Source organism: Homo sapiens, chromosome 6 (genome assembly GCF_000001405.40).
Source record: "Homo sapiens chromosome 6, GRCh38.p14 Primary Assembly".
In the NCBI taxonomy this organism is placed as follows: Eukaryota; Metazoa; Chordata; class Mammalia; order Primates; family Hominidae; genus Homo; species Homo sapiens.
Genome location: NC_000006.12, coordinates 122,661,759 through 122,685,756, shown reverse-complemented (window position 1 = coordinate 122,685,756; position 23,998 = coordinate 122,661,759). Strand labels below are relative to the sequence as shown.

Here is a 23,998-nt window from a genome sequence, read left to right as displayed (position 1 = left end):
TATAGAAAGAATAAGACCTAGTATTTGATAGCACAACAGGATGACTATAGTCAATAATAATTTAATTTTATATTCTAAACTAAAAGAGTGTAATCAGATTGTTTTTAACACAAAGGATAAATGTTTGAGGTAATGGATGCCCCATTTACCCTGATGCATGCCTGTATCAAAATATCTCATGTTCTCCATAAATATATACACCTACTATGTACCCACAAAAATTAAAAATAAAAAGCCAATAAAAACTAATTAATTAATTAATTTTAAAAAGCTAGCCCAGTTACAGCAGAAATTTTCCTTGAGTATTTCTTTTTTTATAGGCAGTTGTCCAACTGAGGCCAAATAGAATGGGCATTTTGCTGCTGTGTTTATGCATGATGTAAACTCATTTGAACCTAAGATTCTTCTCTTTCTTTTAATTCTTTTTAAAACTTGCCTTGAGATTTATCTGGGAAATACAAATTGGGTCATTCTTATCTCTATTGCTTATATACACTGTAGTAATTATAAATGCCAATAGAATTTTTAGTCTTTTTAAAACTGCAGCTTTTTGGTATTACCTACACTTTGGCACAATCTCCCCCTTTAATTCATGATGATCTCATTTCTTAAATTAAAGATAGTGATAGGATCCAGTTCCTAATTCTATCACTGTCTATGACCGGGGGCAAGTGACTAACTTTTCATAACACATTTTCAATAATCTGAGAAGTTTAGCAGCTGGAAGAAAATTAATAAATGTGTTTTCTCAATTTAAAAAATTTATAGAAATGTTTCAATAGACTAATTTTTAAGATTGCAATGTACATTTTACATAAGAGACTCACATGTGTATCTGACCTTGACCAAAGCATACCTTATCCAGTTTATTTTTCTTATTTTACAACTTAAGAGAATTGATGCAAAGCCAAATTAATCAATGCTATTAAAGGCAGTCAAGAGGAAAACAAAACAAGTGACAATCAATGTGTAATTTGTAGATATCTGAGAATTTTGGAGCTAGAAGAAATTTTAATCATCAGCTCATTAATAAACAAAACAAAACTAAAAACAAAAAAGCCGGTCTATTTTCAAAGATGTATATAGGAGACCAGATTGCTGGTATGACTAATCATCTGATTAATTTGAAAATCCAGTCTAAAGCTCATGTCACTGGACTTCTAGGGCAAACTTATAAGATAATGGTGGTTTCTATAATTTTTTTCAAGAATAAACATCAGTTTCTAACATCAGATTACTAGTGGACATGGTGGTGTGATTTGTAAAGGTAAAAGGCCCAGCCTCTGTTTGGGGGAGATGTGAAAGAGAAAGGTAGATGTGAAAGAGAAAGGTAGATTGAGGGCTAGGTCTTTATTGTGCTTAGGGGAAAGTGTTTTTTTCCTCCCAATTTTTATTTTATTGTGATAAAAATAACACTTAACATGAGATCTAGGTGCTTAACAAATTTTTAAGTGTAGAATACTGTATTGTTGACTAAGGTACAATGTTGTACAGCAGATCTGTAGAGCTTACTCATTTTGGTTTACTGAAACTTTATGCCTATTGATTAGTAACTCCCCATTTCCTTGTTCTGCAATCTCCTGGCAACCACCATCATTCCACTCTTGGCTTCTACAAATCTGATTATTTAAAGTGCTTCATGTAAGTGAGCTCATGCAGCATTTGTCTTTCTGTGACTGGCTTATTTCACCTCAAAGTTTATCCACGTTGTCATACTTAATAGAATTGTCTTCTTTTTGAAGGTATAAATATACCACATTTTCTTTTTCCAATCACCTATTGGTGAACAATTAAGTGTTTTCACATTTTGACTGCTGTGAATAGTGCTGTAATGAACATGGGAGTGCTAATATCTCTTTAATATCCTGATTTAAATTCTTTGGAATAAATATCCAGAAGTGTGATGGCTGGATCATATCATAGCCTTATTGTTAGTTTAGGGGAAAGTTTCTGATTGTAAGGTCTATTAGGGAAAGACATGTACATTTCTTGCCCTTGAGTCTTGCTTAGAAGTCAGTCTGTGTTCTTTTAAGGCTTTACGAAAAAACTGATTTACTACATTGGTAAAGCCATCTTGCTTGGGAGTAGATTGTTGGGGTAGAGGAGACTTGGTTAAATGAGAACTCCACTTTGGAACAATAATATTCTGAATGATAAAAGTTCCTTATTGATGTGATTTCAAAGTTGTACTCATTGACGTCTGATGTAATTTGGATATTTGTCCCCACCCAAATCTCTGCTGAATTGTAATCCTCAATGCTAGAAGCAGGGCCTGGTGGAAGGTGTTTGGATCATGGGGGGTGAATTCCTTATGGCTTGGTACTCTCTTCCTAATAGTGAATTCCCTCAAGATCTGGTAATTTAGGAGTGTGGCACCTACCCCTCCAACTCTCTCACTTGCTCCTCCTTTTGCCATGTGACATGACTGTTCCCCCTTTGCCTTCTACCATGATTGGAAGATTCCTGAGGCCTCTTTAGAAGCCAAGTAGATGCCAGCACCATGCTTCCTGTACAGTCTGTAGAACCATGAGCCAATTAAATCTTTTTAATAAATTATCCATTCTCAGGTATTTATAGCAATGTAAGAACAGCCCAATACAGGCTCTGAATTCCATAACTGCCAAATTTTAATAATCATAATGTGTACTGATTTATGTGCAGAGAGAATTATTGACTCGATTCCAGGGAGGCAGCACATAATTAAATCAACCTTGCCTGTGGGAGATGAGCAGACACCTGAAACAGGTTACAAAGTAAGGAAAGGGCCAATCAACCGGGGACCCTTGTGAATGGGCCCAACCAATGAACTCTAGTAATGATGTTGAATAACCAATTCCAGGTTTCCCATTTCTGCACTATAATTCTCTCATGTTATCCTCAGGGCTTGGTAAAGTTTACTATGCACCATAATCATCCTAGTGATGTCTTTGCTTTGGACAGTAAAGTAAAATTGCTGAGAACAATCCCAGGAGGACGTGGACCAGAGAGAACTGTAGCAGGCTCAAGAAGCTTTGGAAGACAGCAGAAGTCTCTCTTTGGAAGAGAGCAGAGAGACCAGAGCAGCAGACGAGAGGTGATGGGCAGCACCCAGGATAGATTAATAGAATCTGAGGGTTGTCAGAAACACTCTGTATGGGTAATACTAAAAAATATGGCACATCCTGAGGTATAAAAGTTACAACTATATTTATTGAGGTTTTATGCCAAAATAACCCCTCAAGTTGAAAAAACCTACAGTTTTTAGATAATCCATTGATTCAGAATATATGTAACAAAAAAGCATTTTTGTGAATTAAATACTTTAAATAAATTATTTTTTATAAAATAATCTATGTACATTTAGATAATGGTAGCATTAATGTGACAGTATTTAGACACAGACACATGGCTTTGTGGACTCCTCTAATAATTCTATAGAATCCTAGGAGACCAGGACCCCCATGTTGGCAAACATTCAATTGTATCATAAATCATGGCCCTACTGGCCAGCCGCCTGACAAAACTGTGTCTTGTAACAAGTATAATTTTACTCTCTAACTCATAAGCCTTCCTCCACCTATCTGTAACTCCCCACTTCTTCCATTTAGAATTATAGACTATTCGAGCTAAAAAAAAAAAAGTTAGTGTTTATCTAATCTATTTCTCTGAGGTGGTTCATAGATATTGAAAGGCTAGATAACTGTGATTGTCTACATGCAGTAGACAATCCCAGAGGGCCACAGCAGTATAACTGGAAAATAGGATGTAGAAATTTCTCACGCTAGACTCCATCCCACAGTTCAATCAGTTGTTCAGTCCTGAGTTCTGGAACGAATATTGAGCACTGATAGCACATCACCACTTGAGGGCTGTAGGCTGACACATTAGCGCATGCTTTCTTAAGCCATATCCAAGCCTCATTAGTTACATGGTGCACAGTCACATGGTAGAAAATCATTCTTGAGGGAACAATTAAATATCACTCCTAAAATTCTAAATCATTTTCAATGTGGCTGGGATGGAAAAGCATCATTTAATTAGCAAGTGCAATAAAGCTGTGACATTTAAAGTAAATTATGACATATTTTTCTCTTTCCTTGGTACACTGAATGGTGACATATTGATCTTTATAGTTGCCATTTCCAAGTTTTGTTTTTTCTTAATTGGTTAATCCAAAAAATGTCAATTAGGTAATTACCCCTCTGCTGTTTGAATCATCTTCATTTATTGAGCAAAAGAAAATTGACTTCAGAAGGAGAAATGCAATTACAATATAATACCAGGGGAAATGTTATATCATTGGAGTATAATAAAACAATATTGTATATGAGCAAAACTCAGTTTATTTTATAGGTGTAAAAGAAATGTCCTTTTTCTGAATTCTAAAAAGTAATTTACCAAATGATCAAATATAAATTAGCTAATCCAAAGTCATTTTTATTCACTTATGAATGTATTAATTCATTTGAAAAATATCTGTTGAGTGCCAATTATATGCCTGCCCAAACAGTTTTATAATTGTTTTAAAGAACTCCAATGGATGAGAAAAAACATTATAAAAACTATTAACACAAATCCATATATAATTCCAAAATGTGGTAAGTCTTAGATAAAAAAAAAATTACAAGGTTTTATGTGAATGTGTCAGGACCTGGCTCATTGATAGTATGAACTGAGATATAAAGGAAGAAATGTAGTTAACTGGTATTGAGGTAGGAAAAGAGTATTTCATGCAGGAGAGACGAGCACATTTTAGGAACTGAAGGAAGGTCAGTGTGGCCACAGCAAAGGGAAGAAGGGAAAGATAGACACAAGATGAAGTCGGTCAGTTAGTAGGGGCCACAACATTTAGACATATTAAGAATTTATTCTATCCTAATAGTAACAGGAGGTCATTGAAGGATTTTAAGTAATAGTATGACAATCAAAACTGAATTTTAAAAAGTTCGTTTTGGCTACAGCAAACGGAATAGATTGGAAAAGAGGAAAAGTTGGTTCAAGAGATGAGTTAGGAGGCAATTGCAGTATTTCAACTGAGGGATGGTGGTAACTCAGACATGTTGGAGCTCAGTAAGCAATACCTCAAAGTGAAAACTTCAGAAGCAGCCTCAGAAGCAAAAGTTTTTCTTTGATCTTGGCCTGCCTTCCTGTCTGGCAGTCCCATTCTCCCCTGAGGCTTGTCATAAAAACTAGAATCCCTCTTCCCCAAGGCAGGTCGCAGAAATCAGAATCCCTCTTTTCCCAAAGCCCACCATGAAACCTAAAAATATGACTCTAATCTTCCCTCTCCCTTTCTGTCTAAAAACTGGCCATAAAGAAATTATCTAACTCATTCAACCATAGGTCTGAAGAACCCCTCCATTTCAGAGAGGGTCCTCCCCCAAATCCAGAAGGAAAGAATCCATGCTTAGAGAAGCCCAGAAGAATCTAGACCGACAGACCTTGCTGGGTTTCCCCAGTCAGACTATTAGCATGAGATAATATCAATTTTGTCTAATCATATTTCTATATGGCAATCCATACTTTTTTGAACCTAAGCGTAAAAATGGAAAATTGCCCCTGTATTTTGGGGTCTTCATTCTGAAGGCTCCTATGTATTCATGTTAAATAGATTTGTATGCCTTTTCTCCAATTAATCAGCCTTTGTGAATTGATTTTTCAGCAAACCTTCTATAGAAAGTAGAGTTTATGTGTTCTATTTAACAATCCATAAAGTCCCAAGTTATTTGTGTTCTACAATTGACCTATTTTTACAGAATTATATGTGTCAAAGGAAAAAAGAAAGCAGAGTGCTATAATAGAAGGTACATGTGGTTTGGTTTAGAATCTGTTCTGAACTTTTGGCTCCTCTACCTATTATCTAAGGGACCTTATACAAGGCACTTAAGCTCTCGAAGCCTCAGCTTCCACTTCTTTGGAGTTCACAAAAGAATACCTCTCACAACTGAGATGATGAAGTGTGACAATGTACGTGATTCTCTCAGCATGTGGAAGGCCAGTTAATATTGAAGAGCCCCAGGACAAATCAGCTGATCTCATCACCGTGGCTTAGAAATATCACCTTCCTTTTGAAACCTGTTCCTCCTCCTGGATTTTCCTGCAAGTGAACACCACTGTACATCCACCCCAGAAACCCAGGAGGCATCCTTTTCCCTCACCCTCCATGATCAAGTCATATAAACTCTAGTCTCTAAATAGGTTTTAAATCTGTGGATGGACTGCTTTTCTCATCCTCTTTCACTACCCAAGATCACCAGCCTCTCTAGCTTAGATGGTCCTCTTCACTGAGTTTCCTGCCTCGGTTTTTGCCCTCTCATCCATTCTTGACAACAGCCCAGCAAATCTTACCATCTCAGCTCTTCAGCCATCCCCTTACATCAGGAAAAGCTCACCCAATTTCTTAACATGACCTTTAACACACTTCACAAAATACACTCTGCTTACTTCCCAGGCTTCTCTCTTGCTGCTCCTCTGCTCCCCTCCAGTCCAGCAGTTGAAATAAACTACCCTCCATTCAGGACTTATAACTCTCAGACATACTCCCTTTCACCTCCAAACACAGGTCACTGCACGTTTGTGCTTCCTCCTGGCTGAAGTGCTCTTCCTCCAAGGCTTCTCTTCACTTGGGCAACAACTACTCAAAACTGAAGTTTTGGCACACATAACACCTTGTTTGGGATGCACTTTTTTTTCACTTGATGGTATCCCAAGTATGTAGGATTGCCTGTAGCCACAGAAGTCTGACTGGATTGCTGAGAGTCACACAAGTTGGAGGCAGTGGTGTGAGAAGACACAGGCCTCCCGCCACGTGTTGCAGTGTCCCTCTTCCTCCATCATGCTGACACCAGCCTTATTTATCTGCATTGCATTTGCTCTCTTTATTAAGACTTAGATACACTATTTTCATGTGGTTTCAAAATGTTGTACATTTATATTGTGGGTTATGGTTTTGCACCTAAAACAGACCAATGTCACCTCCTCTCCAAAGACTTCTTTGACTCTCCTAGTAAGTGGAAGTCATGGCTTCTGTGCTCCTGTGGCACTTGCAAACATTCCTGCAACAATTTTCATACTTATCTCATTTCTCATGATGTTGTGAATGCTTTTGAAACTAGGACTATACTGGATTCATTTTACATCTCTGGTACCCAGGACTGCTCTTCGGACAGAGAAGCACTGAGTATTTGTTGAACTTAATTGCACTCCAGAGCTGAAAAATGTCCAAATTAGGGCAAGTAAAGATGTGCCACAAAAAAACAAAACAAAACAAAACAGAAAGATGCAACTATTAAAAAAAAGAAACAAACTAAGATGATGGCTCTGCCTTCTGGAGATACAGAATTTAAGAAAAGGCCTGGCTCTGGCTAACATAAAGACCAAGAAGGCAATAGAGAAAATGGTGCAACTATAGGAACAGAAGTCCTGTCCAGGTGAGTATGAGCAATCCCTCAGTGGCCCTCCTGCCTCTTTTCATTCAGGACAGAGAACTGGAATTGGGAAGGAAGATGCTCTCACTTTCATAGAGCTGGACAGTTAAGAGCACTTTCTATGCCTGCTCTGGAAGCCTGAAGTCAGCACTAGAAAAGCTGGTTTTGCTCATGCCTGTAATCCCAGCACTTTGGGAGGCCGAGGTGAGCAGATTATGAGGTCAGTAGATCGAGACCACCCTGGCTAACACGGTGAAACCCCGTCTCTACAAAAAATTAGCCGGGCATGGTGGTGGGTGCCTGTAGTCCCAGCTACTAGGGAGGCAGAGGCAGGAGAATGGCATGAACCCAGGAGGCAGAGCTTGCAGTGAGCCGAGATCTCGCCACTGCACTCCAGCCTGGGCGACAGAGCGAGACTCCATTTCAAACAAAAAAAGAAAGAGGAAAGAAAGAAAGAAAGGAAGGAAGGAAGGAAGGAAGGAAGGAAGGAAGGAAGGAAGGAAGGAAGAAAAGAAAGCTGGTTTCACAAGTTGCATAGGTTCCTAAAATGGCAGAATTAGAGTCATTCAATTGTGACAGAAATGAAACTAAGCTTGGGGCAAGAATCCAACTGTTAGTCCTGGTCTTCTCCGGGGGCCTTGGGGCAAATCTCTGAGTTTAATTCCCTCCTCTGCAAAATAAGGGGTTTGAACTAGATCATCTCCAACAGTCTTCTCTGGTTCAGGAAATCTGAAATTTATGGGCTTGACATATGGATTTACTTAAAGCAGCTACATAGCCAAGGGTGAGAAGACAGTCAATCTCAATGTATGCACTGCAGACAATCCAAACTCATCATTTTCATTCTTTACTTGATCTGCACTAGCAGAAGCACACAAGTCTGACTACAACCCCTCATCCATATATGGTAAGCAGCACAGCCAAAACTTTCTTCAACCAAAAGTTAGCGATGCAGTGAGGCTGTAAAGCAGGAATTTTCAAAGTATTATAATCAATGAGGCAGTTTTAAAAAAAACAAAAAACAAATAAACAAAAAAAACAAGTTCCAAGGCCTTGCTTCAGCCCTGCTGCTAAATCAGGAGCTCCAAGATAGAGCCCTAGAAATGTGTATTTTTTACAAAGCTCCCCTTCGATTTTGATTTGGGGATCATTTTTAAAGGAAAATTTGTATTTCTCAAAGACTAGCTTATGAATTACTTTCATAAGAGTTACCTAAGATACTTGTTAATAGTTGGAAGTGTGGCCAAGAATCTGCATTATAGCAATTCTTCCAGTGACTTTACAAATACCAATATCATCCATAACATAGCATATATATGCTTACAAATGAAATCTTTACAAGGACAAAACCTCAAGATCTATAAAACAATGTAGTAAAGACAGGAAATCACGGGTACAGTATAGGTTAATGTCATTGTTAATATTTACAAACTGAAGTGTTAGGAAGTTCAGGCAACTTACCTGGAATCACAAGATTAATAAATGTATGCAATGAAACTGAAAACTAATGCCACAAAGCTATGAAACAGCCTATATTGCCGCAAAATGTGTAATTAAACATTTAATGCACCTTTTCATTAAACAATTGCTGAGGTCTTATCTGATGAAGCAAGATAGAAATATATCTCAGTTCCTGTTGGTCAGTTTTATTAGCTACTACACAAATGTTAATGTCATATAATAATAATAGTTAACCAAGATAAAGTGACTGTTAACTACTAAGCAGCAATGTTTCAGTGATATCCTGGAATCATAAAATGATCTAGGGTAGTCATCATTTTAGTCAACCCTCAAACACAAATATTTATAGTTGAGAACCCCAGAATTATGCTGTCCAAGGTCTCACACAGCTATTGAAGAGCCCACTCAGCTCCAGACTTTAGTTGCATGACTTTGCTTTACTGATCTTCTTTACACTTGGGCCATGGGCTGGGTACCAATCCATGGCCTGTTAGGAACTGGGCCACACAGCGGGAGGTGAGCAACAGGTGAGCAAGCAAAGCTTCATCTGTATTTACAGCCACTCCACATCACTCACATTACCACTTGAGCTCTGCCTCCTGTCAGATCAGTGGCAGCATTAGATTCCCATAGGAGCATAAGCCCTACTGTGAACTGTGTATGTGAGGGATCTAGGTTGTATGCTCCTTATGAGAATCTAATGCCTGATGATCTGTCACTGTTTCCCATCACCCCAGATAGGACCATCTAGTTGCAGGAAAACAAGCTCAGCGCTCCCATTGATTCTACATTGTGATGAATTGTATAATTATTTCATTATATATTACAATGTAATAATAATATAAATAACATGTGCAATAAATGTAATGTGATTGAATCATCCCAAAACCGTCCCTTATCCCCTCCAACCCCAAGTCTGTGGAAAAATTGTCTTCCATGAAACCAGTCCCTGGTGCCAAAAATGGTCAGGGACTGCTGCTTTACACCATCAACTCTGTGTTCTTAAATTCAATATGCTGATTATTTGCTTTAGTGCTATAATAAAACTTCATTAGACATGATTTTTTTTCAGGGAAAAAAACATAATTTTTTTTCACTTACAGTTTCTTCTAAATTTATCTAATAAAATATTTGTTTGTGAAAATGTGTGCTTGTCTTGAACTCTGGTAAATTAAAATAGAAAAAGTCTCCTAGATTCCTCATTCGTGAGTTGATCAGTTTTGGGTATAGGACAATAATAGGCCTTTCAGAACTATGATGAAACTGCATGGACCTTAGTATTATGAGACCTAGTTTTGATTTTTAAAAAAAATTCACCAAAAGTGGTCATAGAAAAGCCATATTAACTTTTAACAGAATACTATTTCTTCCCTTTCCTGTGGACCTCTTTTTCTCTTCCTTCTCATTGATGTGACAAACTCTCTAAAATATGTAGACACACATGTATCTTCACAAAAGGAAAAACGATAATGAAAAAGACATCATCAAAGAGAAATGTCCAAAGAATAAACCAAATATTTATGAGCTATAGATAGACTTGGTGAAGGTTTTCTAATTGAGGCTTTGGTTTATTTATTTTGTTGTTTGAGGAGTGGTAGATTTTTGCATATGTATTACTCTCATTCAAATTTTGCATGCCACTTCAGACTAAATATCCATTTCCTGTCAAGTGTTTTATGGTAGGAACCATTTCTTTCACAAAATCAACATATAATTTCCTAAATAAAGAAGAAAAGGATACTTACAAATCTCTGATTAAAATATGTTGTTATTTCTGAGACAGGTTTAAAAAATTCTGATAAACTTTCTTTCCTGCAAATTAAAAAAAAAAACTATGAAGAACCAGAAAAGGTGGCAATCCAGTTAATCAAATTTTAATTACTTTTGGCTTTTTAAAATATTTAGCTAAAACTGGTAAACATCATGACTTGCCTGACTTTCTCGGGAAAAGCCGAACCTCTAATTCAAACATAAAATTTTCTATTAAAAGTCAAAAGGATCTTATTTCAAATAACAGTTATTAGTTCCCAAGATTATCAGCTACAAAATCCAGTGGATGATTGCTGCATTGATGCTGTTAAGGATCATTGCCAGGTTGAGAAATCATCGTGTAAAAACAACTGATCATTACAGGAAATATTTGTAGCCACATAAAAATGATTGTAGGACAATATTTGGCATGATACCACCTTTGGAAGTTTGTAGAAACACACCAGACTTTGAGAATATAATTGTAGAGAATCTTCTGCACCCTCCATAAGTATTCTAAGGCATTGTACCAATATTACCAGTACCCACATAAGGATCATGTCAAAGGAATCGAACCATCTTGCTCTTGGAAATCAAAGTAAACTACCTATATATTATTCCTATTCACAGAATGGGCCTTATATTTCAGGACTTAGCATCTGGCATAAGAAGGGTGAAAAATAATGGGAGTATGAACCGTCGGTATGCACATTAGCCACTCATAGCAATAAGGCACTTTGCAAATTCCCTTCACCACACTCTCACTGCCTTAGTTCAACCTACCATTCACTCTTCCTGGACTGTGGCAACAACGTCCTAATGATTTTCTTGTATGCATTCTTGCTTCCTGCAAATCCATTCTTTACACAGGTGTCAGGTAGAATTATTTCAAAGTAAATATAGTCATGATCATTCTACAATTAACCCTTATTAGTTTGCCTATCACCTACAATATCAAGCCCAAATCCCTTCACGTGGTACATGGTGCCCTCCAAGAACTAGCCCCACTCCACTTTTCCTTCCTTTTCACCCATGCCCAACCTCCACCAATCCTAAAACTCTGCAGTCACACTCCACCAGTAGAATCCTGTGCTTTATTTCTGTCACCCCTGTGGCTGAGTTTCTTTGCCCTCCATCTCTTCCCCATCTCCTTGCTAGTATATCTTCTTCATCTCTTCTGGGTCAACTTGGGCAACCCTTTCCAGAGCCTTCTATGTCTTCCTTAGTCTAGGCAGGTTCCTTCCTATGTGCTCTAAAACACTCTGGTATAGATCTGTCTTTGTGCTTATCACAGGCATTACACATTTCAGTTTAGTGTCTGCTTTTCTGCTGCAAACACATTTTTTTAAGCCTTTTGAGGGCATGGACTGTGACTCATTTGTCTTGTTCCCAGCACAGTGTTTCACAGATGGTAGGAGGAGTGCAATAAATACCTGTTGAATGTCAAGGTGCATTAGGTGTTTTTCAGACTTGGAGCTGCCTGAATGCGTATTTTACCACCTTGGAAGAATTTTAAAATTAAAAGCAGACATCATTTTAACCTTGTTCCCATACTCAGTTTCTCAAATGATCTTTGCTCTTCCTCTCACTCTTTGTCTGGGACTTTTTCCTTCAATGAGTCCTATATGTCCAGACCAAATAAAAGGAACTGAGAAGAGGAAGTGAGAAATAAATGAAGAAATGATGATACAGTAAGTAGCAAAAAGATAAAAATTTGTAAACTTCAAAACTTATATAATGTAATGTAAATATACACACCTAAAAGACATGATTAAGAAAACAAAATTTTGTAGTCTTAATATTTTCAACCATTTGGATGCAGCTCTTGGCAAAGATCTAGTAGAAACTATAAATAAGAATCTAGTTTAAAGTCTGTTAGATAAAAGTAAACATTGCTATTTGCATTTTAAAAATGCATGTTTAAAATATCCCTATAATTTTATAACCTTTCCATGATTAATTTTTTTTACAGAAATCCACCTATCCTTGTCTATTGCAACACAACCAAAATAAAAAAAAATGAGTGAAATAGTTATGTTTTTCCCTCTCCACTTCTTTCCAGTTTATTTTACAAACAAATATACCTATGTGGTGGACTTTGAAAATATTTCATCCATGTTTTTTATTACTAATGTACATAAAAATTCAGATTTAATGAAGATATGCTTAACACAAAAATACTAAAGGTTGAGACTGTGAGAGTCTCTACTCATCCTTTAAAATATCACTTATCAAATATTTTACTAATGAAAGTGCAGTAATTCTTGGGAAGATTTCAAGAACAGTAGCACGCCCCTAACAAATATAAAAATAATTTTTGTGTGTACATATCTCCTATATATGAATATTTATACTATAAATTATAAGTATTACTATCCTAATAGTCTAATATAACTTATTTGCTATATTATTATTATATATGTTAAATACATTAACAGACATTAAAAATAAAATATAAATAGATATAATTAGATGTTCTAATATTTTTTCATGATCCTCAGTGTACGATGCAGAATTTGCATGTTTCTACCACACGAGGTCTGATTCTTTCTCCATTCTCTCTCCTGAAACTACAACTAAATCAAGAGAAAACTTGGTGATATACATGGAAGCTAAGACATATCAACAGCCAAAAAGCCAGTGGACTCATCAAGGTGTATTGATACCCTTTACAAAGGGAACAGATCAAAGTATGGGTGAATCAGCAGAAATTTATCACAGTAGAAACACATGCACATTCAGAATTAGCAGAGATGTTGAATGTCATTTAGTTCAATCATTTTCAAACTATTGTTTTTAGATGAGGAATATTTTCTTTTTAAATGAACCCCTTAGCAGAAGGCCTACACTCAAGATGGATGCAAGCAGAACTGCTCTGGGTACCTCGGGCTTCAAGGTCTGATGCTCTACTCACTCCCTTCCCTACTCTTCTCCTCCTTCTCAGGGAAAACTACATGTCTACACTGCCACTTTAGAGATGAGGCTACCAGGCTGGAGATGGAACAAGAGCAGCCTTTTCAAGAAAGATATAATAATGTAGCTAAAAATATTCATCTTGGTGCTTGTCCATCCTCCTTTTTGATGGACAATCAGTATTTGCTTGCAGGAACTGATTTCTCTGCATGTCCCAAGCTGACCTCAGTTGTAAATATAAATACTTAAACCATTAACTAACAGGAATTAAGGTAATTTTTGGTACTAGGGTTTGGTAAAACAATAAATACTTATTTTTTCTTCCAAATATATATTTTCTAACTTGAGTTTTAATTACTCAAGCAGCCAGCCATGTTAACATGCAAATAACATGCATAAAGGAGAAGAATCTATCAGGTCTGAAGCACAAAATTTCAGGGGGTGCCCAAAAGCTCAGAAATCAAGATAAATAACATGTAAATGCCATACACTGTAAAAATAGAAATTTATGCAAAGATCTATGATGAACAAAATATCAAAGTTTTAAATACAGATTTAACCCTGAACTTGTATAAGTCAGCCTCATGTATCTCACCTGGTTCAGTGACTTCTCTGAAAAATGAATTGTAAACATAAAAATCATGTCAGGTTAGTTACATTATGCAAATTTCTGCCTCAAAACACCAAGGACTGTAGAAGGAGAAGGAAATGTAGTTTGGAGGACAAAGTTCAGTCAAAGGCATGTTCCGGTAAAGGCTTTTACACTTCAGTCTGTAAGACTGGGGATCAGGTGAGGTTGCTTGGGAACAAATAAGCAACTAGACAACTGTAACACGAGATAAGACCTAACCTATGCTTTCATTTGAACTATTTTACAATGTCAATGAGCTACTAAATCTAGTTATAGATACTTCAATAAGTATTTTTTTTTTTTTTTGAGACAGAGTCTTTCTCTGTCACCAGGCTGGAGTGCAGTGGCGCAATTTTGGCTCACTGCAACCTCCGCCTCCTGGGTTCAAGCCATTCTCCTGCCTCAGCCTCCCAAGTAGCTGGGATTACAGGTGCCCACCACCACACCCAGCTAATTTTTGTATTTTTAGTAGAGACAGGGTTTCACCATGTTGGCCAGGATGGTCTCTATCTCCTGACCTCGTGATCCGCCCACCTCGGCCTCCCAAAGTGCTGGGATTACAGGCGTGAGCCACCGCGCCTGGCCTCTTCAATAAGTATTCTTTTAAATTTTTGTTTTGTTTTTAAAAGCAAGGCATAGTTCTAAAATACATAAAACCCTGAAAGTTAAAATGTATCCACTGAACATCATCTGACTATGTGAAGCAAGTTAACCACTTCAACTGTAAGACCTAGTTTTAAAAGTCTACTCTTAAGAGGATGCATTTAACCTCTCAAGCACTACAATGGTGAACACAATCATCACAGAGATGAATCATGGTGACATTGAAAATGATGTGCATTCATGAGGATGTTTTCTGTCCACCAACTCAAATGAACTAGCTTAGGAGAATGAATGACTCTGCCTGACACATAGTAAGTACTCAACATACATATACTAAATGAATAAATTAATGAAATAATAAAAGTTGAAAGATGGCTGGCAACAGGTATACTAGGACCAGATTATAAAGAATATTGAAACAGAGACTTCATGCTGTGGGCCACTGAGCAAAGGTCTGATGAGGTTTAACAACAACAACAACAACAACAACAACAAAAACATGTGATTCCTTATAAGAAAGAATGGGTGATGGGTGGATTGGTAGTAAGCAAATAGCAAATCCAGCAAAAGTTTTTAGAAATAGCCTTGGCAATGGGCAATAAGGGCCCACCAAAGGGTGCAGACTATAAAACTGGAGGAAGACGAGTGTAGGGAATACTGCTGGCTGGCTGCTATTTGCTCCTCTCCCCCTTTCTATAGAAATAGAAAGTTTAGCTGGGTACACAGCCACAGATAGTATTACCAAGCTTTCCATGCTGCTAGGTCATGCAACTGGATTTCTTCATTAAATATGGCTAGGTGCAGAAGTGATATACTCCACTTCCAGGTTACATACTGAAAGAGAAGGGAATGTGGTCTCTCATTCCTCTTTTGCCCTTTCTGAAAACTGGACTGCATCTGTTGCTGCGAGTCATGCTTCATGAGGTGGACAAACACAATACCTTGGAGATGACAAAGCAACTAGATAGAAGGGGCCTGCATCCCTAACCTGGTTAAGCCACTATACCAGCCCTATAGCACCTGCCTGGATTGCACATAAGATAGAACTAAACTTACATTGCGTTTCATCCACTGTCATTTTTGGATTTTGCAATAACTGCCAAACTGATGTCGGAAACTAATATATATGGACATAAAAAGAATTTACAAAATGGAAAAATCCATGGAATGTGGTGATAGGCTACACCGAATGAGGGAGAATGATGAACTCAAACAATTTCAAGGTTTTATGCCCAGGGAACTAGGACAATACTGGAACCACCAACAAAATAACAGGTGAGAGGGAGATGGGTGGAGTTCAGATGGTGGAAAACAGCCAAGGCGGGAGCTGAAAGTATGGGCCTGGAACTCAGACAAAAGGAAAAATTTGAAAATAGAAATGTCAGCAATTTTGTATAGTATATACAGATGAAAATGTGAAAATTAATAGAATCTAAGACTAAGATCAGAGAATGCCAAAAGCTGAATGATGGGGTATTCTCACAAAAGGCAGAAGAGAGCAGCAGTAATCAGCAAAGGTTAAAAAAAAAAGAATGTTATTATCCTACATAGGAAAGGGTTAATGATTAAAACCATGGAATAATAGAATTAACCTTGATTCAAGCTGACAAACAAATTTAAAGGGAATCTAATGTGGGCTAAATGTCTTAAATCCATTTAAAGCTCCCAAAAAAAACTGAAGCAATCATTTCTTGAAATAGAAAGGCATTAATTACAGTTCTGAACAAGCCAGATCTCAATAATTTCTTTAGTTTAAATTTCCAGAATTCCAAGAGAAAAAAAAACACCCAACAGATACCTATGACATTCTGTCCTTTTTAAATTCTCACAATAGAGGAAGAAAAGAGGTGACAAGAATGAAGGGAAAATGAAGCATAAGTGCCTTTCTACTCACATATTCTTTCTAGGAGGCTGATTGTTTTTGTTTTGTTTTGTTTTTTTAATAGGAATGGGGTCTCAATATATTTTCCAGGCTGGTCTCAAACTCTTGGCCTTAAGCAATCCTCCCACCTTAGTCTCCTAAAGTTTTGGGATAACAGGAGTGAGCCAACGCACCCAGCCAGGGGCTGATGTCTGTAAGTAGAAATGGCAAATTGAAACAAATCCTCCTCCTCAATTTTTATTGTTTCATTGGAAGATATGGTGATTTAAATTTCACATTAAGCTTTGAAGTTAATAAAGTTGGCAACATAGAAGCCAACTGTTATATATAAGAAGAAAGAGTTTGGGAGTCTGTATCACTTGTGAGATGTGCTAATATTCCTGGAAGGTCATCAGCATTCCAGAACATTCAGGCAATGTTATACTAGGCCCTCCAACGGTTCTTCTTCCCCACCTGGCTTGGTTGATCCAACCAGGAGGACATTTTTTAGGGAGAAGTCAGACCGAAGATTTCTGTTTTGTATTCCACTGTCCACTTCATATTGACAAAACACACCATTTTAGCTTTTTCTCTGAAGATTGTTTTCTCTCTAGTTTTAGTCTGCAGAATGTGTAGTATAGCTGCTTAAGGGACATCAGGAAAGACTCCATTTTTCTTTACCAGAACATTTTCATAAAAGTCGATCATACTAATTCACTTAGTATGAGAAATTGATATCCCTCTCTCTTCCTTTGAAGAGAAATCGGTTAGGAATCTCCTTTTTCTCTTCACATAGTGACTGCATTATCCACGGTCTTTCCAATTGTTTGGAAGACAGTTTCACTGTTGTTTTTAGTGTTATCCTTGAATCCTATATACAGTATTCTTTTAAACTCTTAATACTGGTACACATTTTGGGATTCTAAACCCTGTCATTTTTTTACTTAATGACCAGACAATACTTTTCACTTCTCCAGGTAGATCAGAGTGTGAAAACCTGCTCTAAAATGACCTTTCCTTTACATATGGTTGCAGAATAGCTGAACAAAGATTGCTGTACACCAAGAAATTAGCTTGAGGGGAAAGAAACCTTCTTTTCTTATTTTGAGTTGGAGTAAGAGAAGAGTGTGTATATGTTAAGTGGGAGCAGGGTAGAGGGTGGGGGTTGCATTTCATGACACAGCATTCGACACACAAAATTGCCATTGCTTCACTCCTGTCTGTCTGTATATCTTTTCAGGTGTGGCCTGTGTGGTTCTAGAATTCCTGGCATTTAAATATAACCTGAAAGCCACTCAGATCAATCTGGAAAGAGCTTCTCTTTACTTTTTTACCATGTGCCACATAAAAACCACAGCACCAAAACAGCAGATTCACATTTTTTTTGTAAACTATTCAGTGCTTCTTAATGTTTGCTTGCAAAGCCTCAATAAAAGAAGTAACTTTTAATTTTTTTCCATAACTATTAAACTTCTTAGCTTATATTACTTTCTTACCTATATTATAATCCTCAAACACCAACAAAAAAGTTCATAAGCTTTACATTATCTTTCATCTCACTTACAACTTTTATTTTTATTTTCATTTTTATTTTTTTTGAGACAGTCTTGCTTTGTCCCCCAGGCTGGAGTGCAGTGGCGTCATCTCGGCTCACTGCAAGCTCCGCCTCCCGGGTTCATGCCATCCTCCTGCCTCAGCCTCCTGAGTAGCTGGGACTACAGGCGCCCGCCACCACGCCCAGCTAATTTTTTGTATTTTTGGTAGAGACGGGGTTTCACTGTGTTAGCCAGGATGGTCTCGATCTCCTCGGCCTCCCAAAGTGCTGGGATTACAGGCGTGAGCCACGGCGCCTGGCCGACTTACAACATTTTAATAGGTATATCTGAGGTTAAAGAGGAAATTGTTAGGCATCACAGTTAATTTTGATGTTAATTATAAAATAAATTGAAAAAAGTTAAGTCTAACCCCAGTATTGTTACATACATAGACGCATTATTTCCATCTGGCATCTATAAACATTTGTGCTCACAGAAGAAGGCCAATGAAAACTATGTTAAATATAAAAAGGAACATACCAACTCACTGGGAGGAAAGGGAGCAAACAATTGTGGAGTGCCCATGACTTTCTAGATGCATTAAACATTCTCTCACTGAATCCTTTCAAAAGCCATAAAAAAAAAAATATTAGTACCATTGGATGCCTAAGGAAGCTTGAGGTTATAATCGAACCAGTGCCAAGCAAGGTCAAGTCATGAATCCAGGTCTGTCCGCCATATGGACTTAATACTAGTAGTAGTGGTTGACTAAGTCGATTCACAGGAGCAACAAAAAGAAATATACTTTTCAGACTTTGTCTGAAAGTAAAGTTGATGAATTATACTTTAGAGGTCACTTTTGATATATCCCATATTTTTTCAAAATGGTTTCTATAAGATACCCTCTTAGCATTATAGATTAATACCAGATGTTCACTCCCTACCTTGATAAGATCAGTAACCTGCTCAAAGGAGTCTGGTCTGTTTCAAAAAGCACACAGAAATGCGCCCATGAGGGCAGCTCAAGACTACTAAGAGATGTGTTGTCATATTGCGTATCCACCAGAAAGTGACTTGATAGACTCCTAGAGGTGGAAGAGAAGTAAAACAAAAACAAAAACAAAAACAAAAACAAAACACAACTAGCACATATCCCCAGTTTTAAAAAATGTTTTTGAAGTAGATATTATATTTTTGTGCCCTTTTGAGTCAGTCAAGATACTGCTATTAAACGGACATGATTTTGGTTAGCTAAATGAGCCCTTACAAAGCAATAAGCCCTTTGAACTTCAGTTTCTTCTTCTGCATAGGTAACCTGTTGGAAATTTAAGGGCTTTTGCAAGGTTAACCTGTTTGAATCTGGCTGAGAGGCAGTGTCGATGGTGAGTGCACTGGGCAAAGGAAGTCAGATGGTCATAAAGGTTTGGTCATGGAAGGCTAAGGCTGGAAAAGACTAACATTAAAGACAGTATAATGCTATGCACACGAGCTTTGGAGACAGACTGGCTCTAGAACATAATAGCTATATGACTTGGGGAAACTCGGCTCACATTTCCTTATTTGTACTGTGGAAATAAAACTTCCACTTCACAGGATGTTGTGAAGATTAAATGAGACAATGTCCGAAAAGTACTTAGTGTAATTCCTAACACATAGTAAGTGCTTAATAAACAGAAGTTGCTATTATGACTATTCTTTATACCGAAGGAAAAACTGTGCTTTAGAAGGTTAAAAGACTAGCACAAGGTCACAGGCCATTCCTTTACTGAGGTGTCAGGTTAGGGGGTGGAGGATAAACTCAGCTTCATCAAAAAACAATTACCTCTAAATAACCAGTTATATGCATAGGACCAGAAAATATCTATGAAAATTTCAAATGCATTTTCAGTTTTTTTTTCATTAAAAACTGACTTTACAACCAACTTTCTTTTTTCCTTTCCCTAACGTCTGTTTCCTTTCAAAACTAACACTGTGTGAATTCCTGTGTGATTTTGATCTCATTATTTTTTGAGCTGAAGGTCTCTCTCCCGAGTCTACTTTGTCCTAACATTGTCATTGCTATTTCATTCTTCTATATCCTAGAAAAAGCACACACAGCAGAGAAATGCATTAGAAGGATCTTATTCAGAAGAATATTTCTTTGCTAACTATTTAACATGCTGCAGATTTAGATGCTTTTATCTAAATAAGATGCAGATTGTTAGTTTTGAATTTTAGACTAAGAAAATAATTTGAAATAAAATTTTGCAATAAATCCATTTTAAAGGGCCCTTTGAAGAGTGACTCTTAAGCATTATCTGCAAGAACAATCTCTCAAAATAAACTGGCCAAATTAAGGTTTCGTATTTTGCTCAACAATAGACAAAGGTTGAAATGTTCACTTCTGGTTTTCCTACTTATCTTTACTAAGCAATGCAGCCTAACCTTATTTTTTTTGTCATTGCTGTCATTTTGAAACTTTTTTTAACCCAGGTATATGAGTCAACAAGAACAAAAACAAGCTTAATTTTACTAATTCATGATCTTTCTAGAACTGGAGAAGCATTTATATAAGTTCACTGTATTAGGCTGTACAGGCTGTATACTTCATGGCTGCCATTCACTCTAGTCCAAGGAAGACTAATAGCTAAATGTAAACACTGTTGATGTCACTAAAGTCCAAATTTGAATTTTAAAATGTATTAATATTCTTTTTACAAAGGTTTATTTTTCCCTAAAGGGGCGTTTACTAGGCATTCTAAATTCTAAACATTACAATTATATATTTGCCTTTAGAAGATGAATTATTTAGATATGCTTCACTTTAAGGCATTACATTAAATTAAATTTAAAGGCAAGAAGGCTATAAACAAAACAAAAATAAACAACAACAAAAAAAATTGACAAAAATATATTTAATGTCACACCAGGAACAGTGGCTCATATCCGTAATCCCAGCACTTGGGAGGCTGAGGTAGGAGGATTGCTTGAGTCCATCCTGCAACATAGTGAGACTTTACCTCTACAAAAAATAGAAAAATTAGCTGGACATGGTGGCACACACCTGTAGTCCCAGCTACTTGGGAGGATGAAGCAGAAGCATTGCTTGAGCCCAGGAGTTTGAGGTTACAGTGAGCTATGATCACGCATCACTTCTCTCCAGCCTGGTGATAGAGAAAAACCCGTCTCTAAAATAAATAAATAAGTAAATTTAATATTTACATTAAGTGTCAAAATTATCTCCTTCCTTTAATCTGAGAATGACTAGAAGTCTCATGTTTAGGCCAATGACATTCATAACTAGCTGAATTTATACTTCCTATAACAGTACATTGTCCATGTCAGGATTTGTCTGGCTCAGAGAAAAATGGCAGCTGCAGTGCTGAGTCACTAAAACCAATTCTCAATGAAGCAGCTGCTGCTGAAAGCTGGGCTTCAAACATCAATCAATCTCTGACTGTTGCAGCTAGTCTGTGGATTTTGTCAGTTGTTGGTACTTTCACCACATTGCAGTATTACTGTTGTCATATCATACTGCACTAGTTGACATAACATCATCTTGTAGAGACCTTCAATATGAGAATATCCACATCCTCATGAATATGTAAATAAATTTTTTGAAGGAAGTGGTACAAAGAACATATGTTCTAAATGCTAAAATACTAATTTTCAGTAGAATGATTCCACCCACCTCCATATTTCTCTGAGGCATTGGTCTGAAACAATCACACTTCAGCCCCAAAACAAATACAGATATGGTGTTATGGGTTGCATCGTTTCCCCCGAAAATATATTAAACTCCTAACCCCCAGTACATGTGAATATGATGTTATTTGGAAATAAGGTCTTGGCAAATGTAACCAAGTTAAGATGAGGTCACACTGGAGTAGGGCAGTCCCTTGATCCAATATGACTGGTGTCCTTATAAAAGGAGGGAAGACAACGTAAAGACAGACACACAGAGAATGTCCTGTGAAGAAATAGGAGGGACACATCTACCAGCTGAGGGATACCTGGAGCTACCAGAACTGAAAGAGGCAAGAAGGATCCTCCCCTCTAGGCATCAGAGGGAGCATGGCCCTGGCAACACTTTGAGTTTAGGCTTCTGGCCTCCAGAACTATGAGCAAATAAATTTCCTTTGTTTTAAGCCGCCCAGTTTGTGGTACTTTCTTGTGGCAGCCATTTTGGGACATCCACGTAGGGATGATGGTAGACTCTTAGCAGCTCCTGGAGGGCACAGGTATAAACTATGTTAATCCAGGAAACATAGTAATTTAACAGGCTCTTCTTTCAGGTTACATTTTCTCGGATTCATCTTTTTTAAATTAGAGCATCCCTAAATGTGTAGCCAATTCCTAAGATAAGCAAAACCAGGATCAGACTAATAGATCTTAGATTAAAGAATACATTAAAATGGTTTGAAATGAGCCAGGTATTCTAGAATAGCTTGTGTTTCTAGTGCTTTTAGGTGTCATCTCATGATCTGTGGGTATTAACAGATATCAAGCTATCACCACAATTACCCATGCCCAGAAGTTTCAACACACTGAAAAGAACAGAGATGTAACAGAATCACCAGAGTCCAATTTCCATGAAGTTTTTCAAAGCAAGGAAACGAAGAAGAAATAATACAATCAGGATAAGGGAAACAACAGAAATAGACCTAAGGAATTGAGCCACTAAACTAAACCTACATAATTTATTGCTCAAGCTTCTCTCTTGGAAGGCAGACAAACAGCAGCTAGAATCAGACACCCCTGAGTCTTGCTAGCTCCGCTACTGACTAGCTCTGTGTCTTTGGACAAGTTATATACCCTCTCTAAACTTCAGTTTACTCATTAGTAAAGTGACAGTAATAATTTTACCAACCTCATAAGGGAAGCTTTCAGTAGTTGTTAGAAATGTTATTACTAAATTCAGTGTTAGCTTAAGTTGCAACCTCACTCATGGAAAAGATATTACTCCATGCCTCATCTTTATGTTTTTAAATCAGAAAGAGGCCGAGCACGGTGGCTGATGCCTGTAATCCCAGCACTTTGGGAGGCCAAAGCAAGTGGATCGCCTGATGTCAGGAGTTCGAGACCAGCCTGTCCAACATGGGGAAACCCTGTCTCTACTAAAAATACAAAAAAAAAATAGCTGGGCACGGTGGTGCATGCCTATAATCGCAGCTACTTGGGAGGCTGAGACAGAAGAATTGCTTGAACCCGGGAGGCGGAGGTTGCAGTGAGCCCAGATTGTGCCATTGCACTCCAGCCTGGACAACAAGAATGAATCTCCAAAAAAAAAAAAAAAAAAAAAAAAAAAAAGGAGACAAGGAAAGAAAGAAGGAGAGAGAAAGAGACCTTGGTTTAGGCAATCATTTCTTAGATATGACACCAAAGCACAAGTGACAAAAAAAATTGATAAATTGAACTTCATCAAAATAAAAAGCCTTTGTGCACCAAATGACACCATCAAAAGTGAAAGACTACCTAAAGAATTGGAAAAAAACACTTGCCAATCATATGTCTGATAAGAGATTTGTAAGTTAAGTATATATAGAACTACAACTAAATAATAAAAAGATAAATAACCCAATTTAGAATATGGCCAGTGAACATGAATAGACATTTCTACAAAGAAGGTATGTAAATGGCCAATAAGCACATTAAATGATACAGAGCATCATTATCCCCTATTAGGGAACTGCAAGTTAAAACCATGTTGAAATACCACTTTACACTCACTATGATGACTATAATAAAAAAAGACAATGACAAGTGTTGAGAAGGATATAAAGAAATGGAAGGCTTCGTCACTGCTGGCTGAAATGTAAAATGGTGCAGTCTCTTTGGAAAATAGCCTAGCATTTCCTCA

The 23,998-nt window shown here is 37.2% G+C and overlaps 1 protein-coding gene across 14 annotated transcripts in view, besides 1 other annotated feature; it reads right to left on the bottom strand.

Moving 5' to 3' along the window:
* PKIB (cAMP-dependent protein kinase inhibitor beta) overlaps positions 1 to 23,998 on the bottom strand; it is a 254,453-nt gene that overhangs the window by 40,617 nt on the left and 189,838 nt on the right. For 11 of the 14 annotated variants that reach the window (NM_001270393.2, XM_047419002.1, NM_001270394.2 and 8 more), the window contains one exon: positions 10,613 to 10,679. The exons of 1 other annotated variant lie outside the window; for it this stretch is intronic. The gene's annotated coding sequence lies outside the window, so the exon portion shown is untranslated. Of the gene's footprint in view, positions 1 to 10,612; positions 10,680 to 12,049; positions 12,265 to 23,998 lie in introns of all 14 variants that reach the window. 2 more of the 14 variants (XM_047419003.1, XM_047419005.1) reach the window with 1 other exon arrangement.
* Positions 21,466 to 21,666: a silencer, noted in NCBI's record as "peak6076 fragment used in MPRA reporter construct". NCBI's record gives its function as "represses an SCP1 promoter by STARR-seq MPRAs in K562 erythroleukemia cells {active_cell/tissue: K562}" and the evidence as "EXISTENCE:reporter gene assay evidence [ECO:0000049][PMID:32103011]".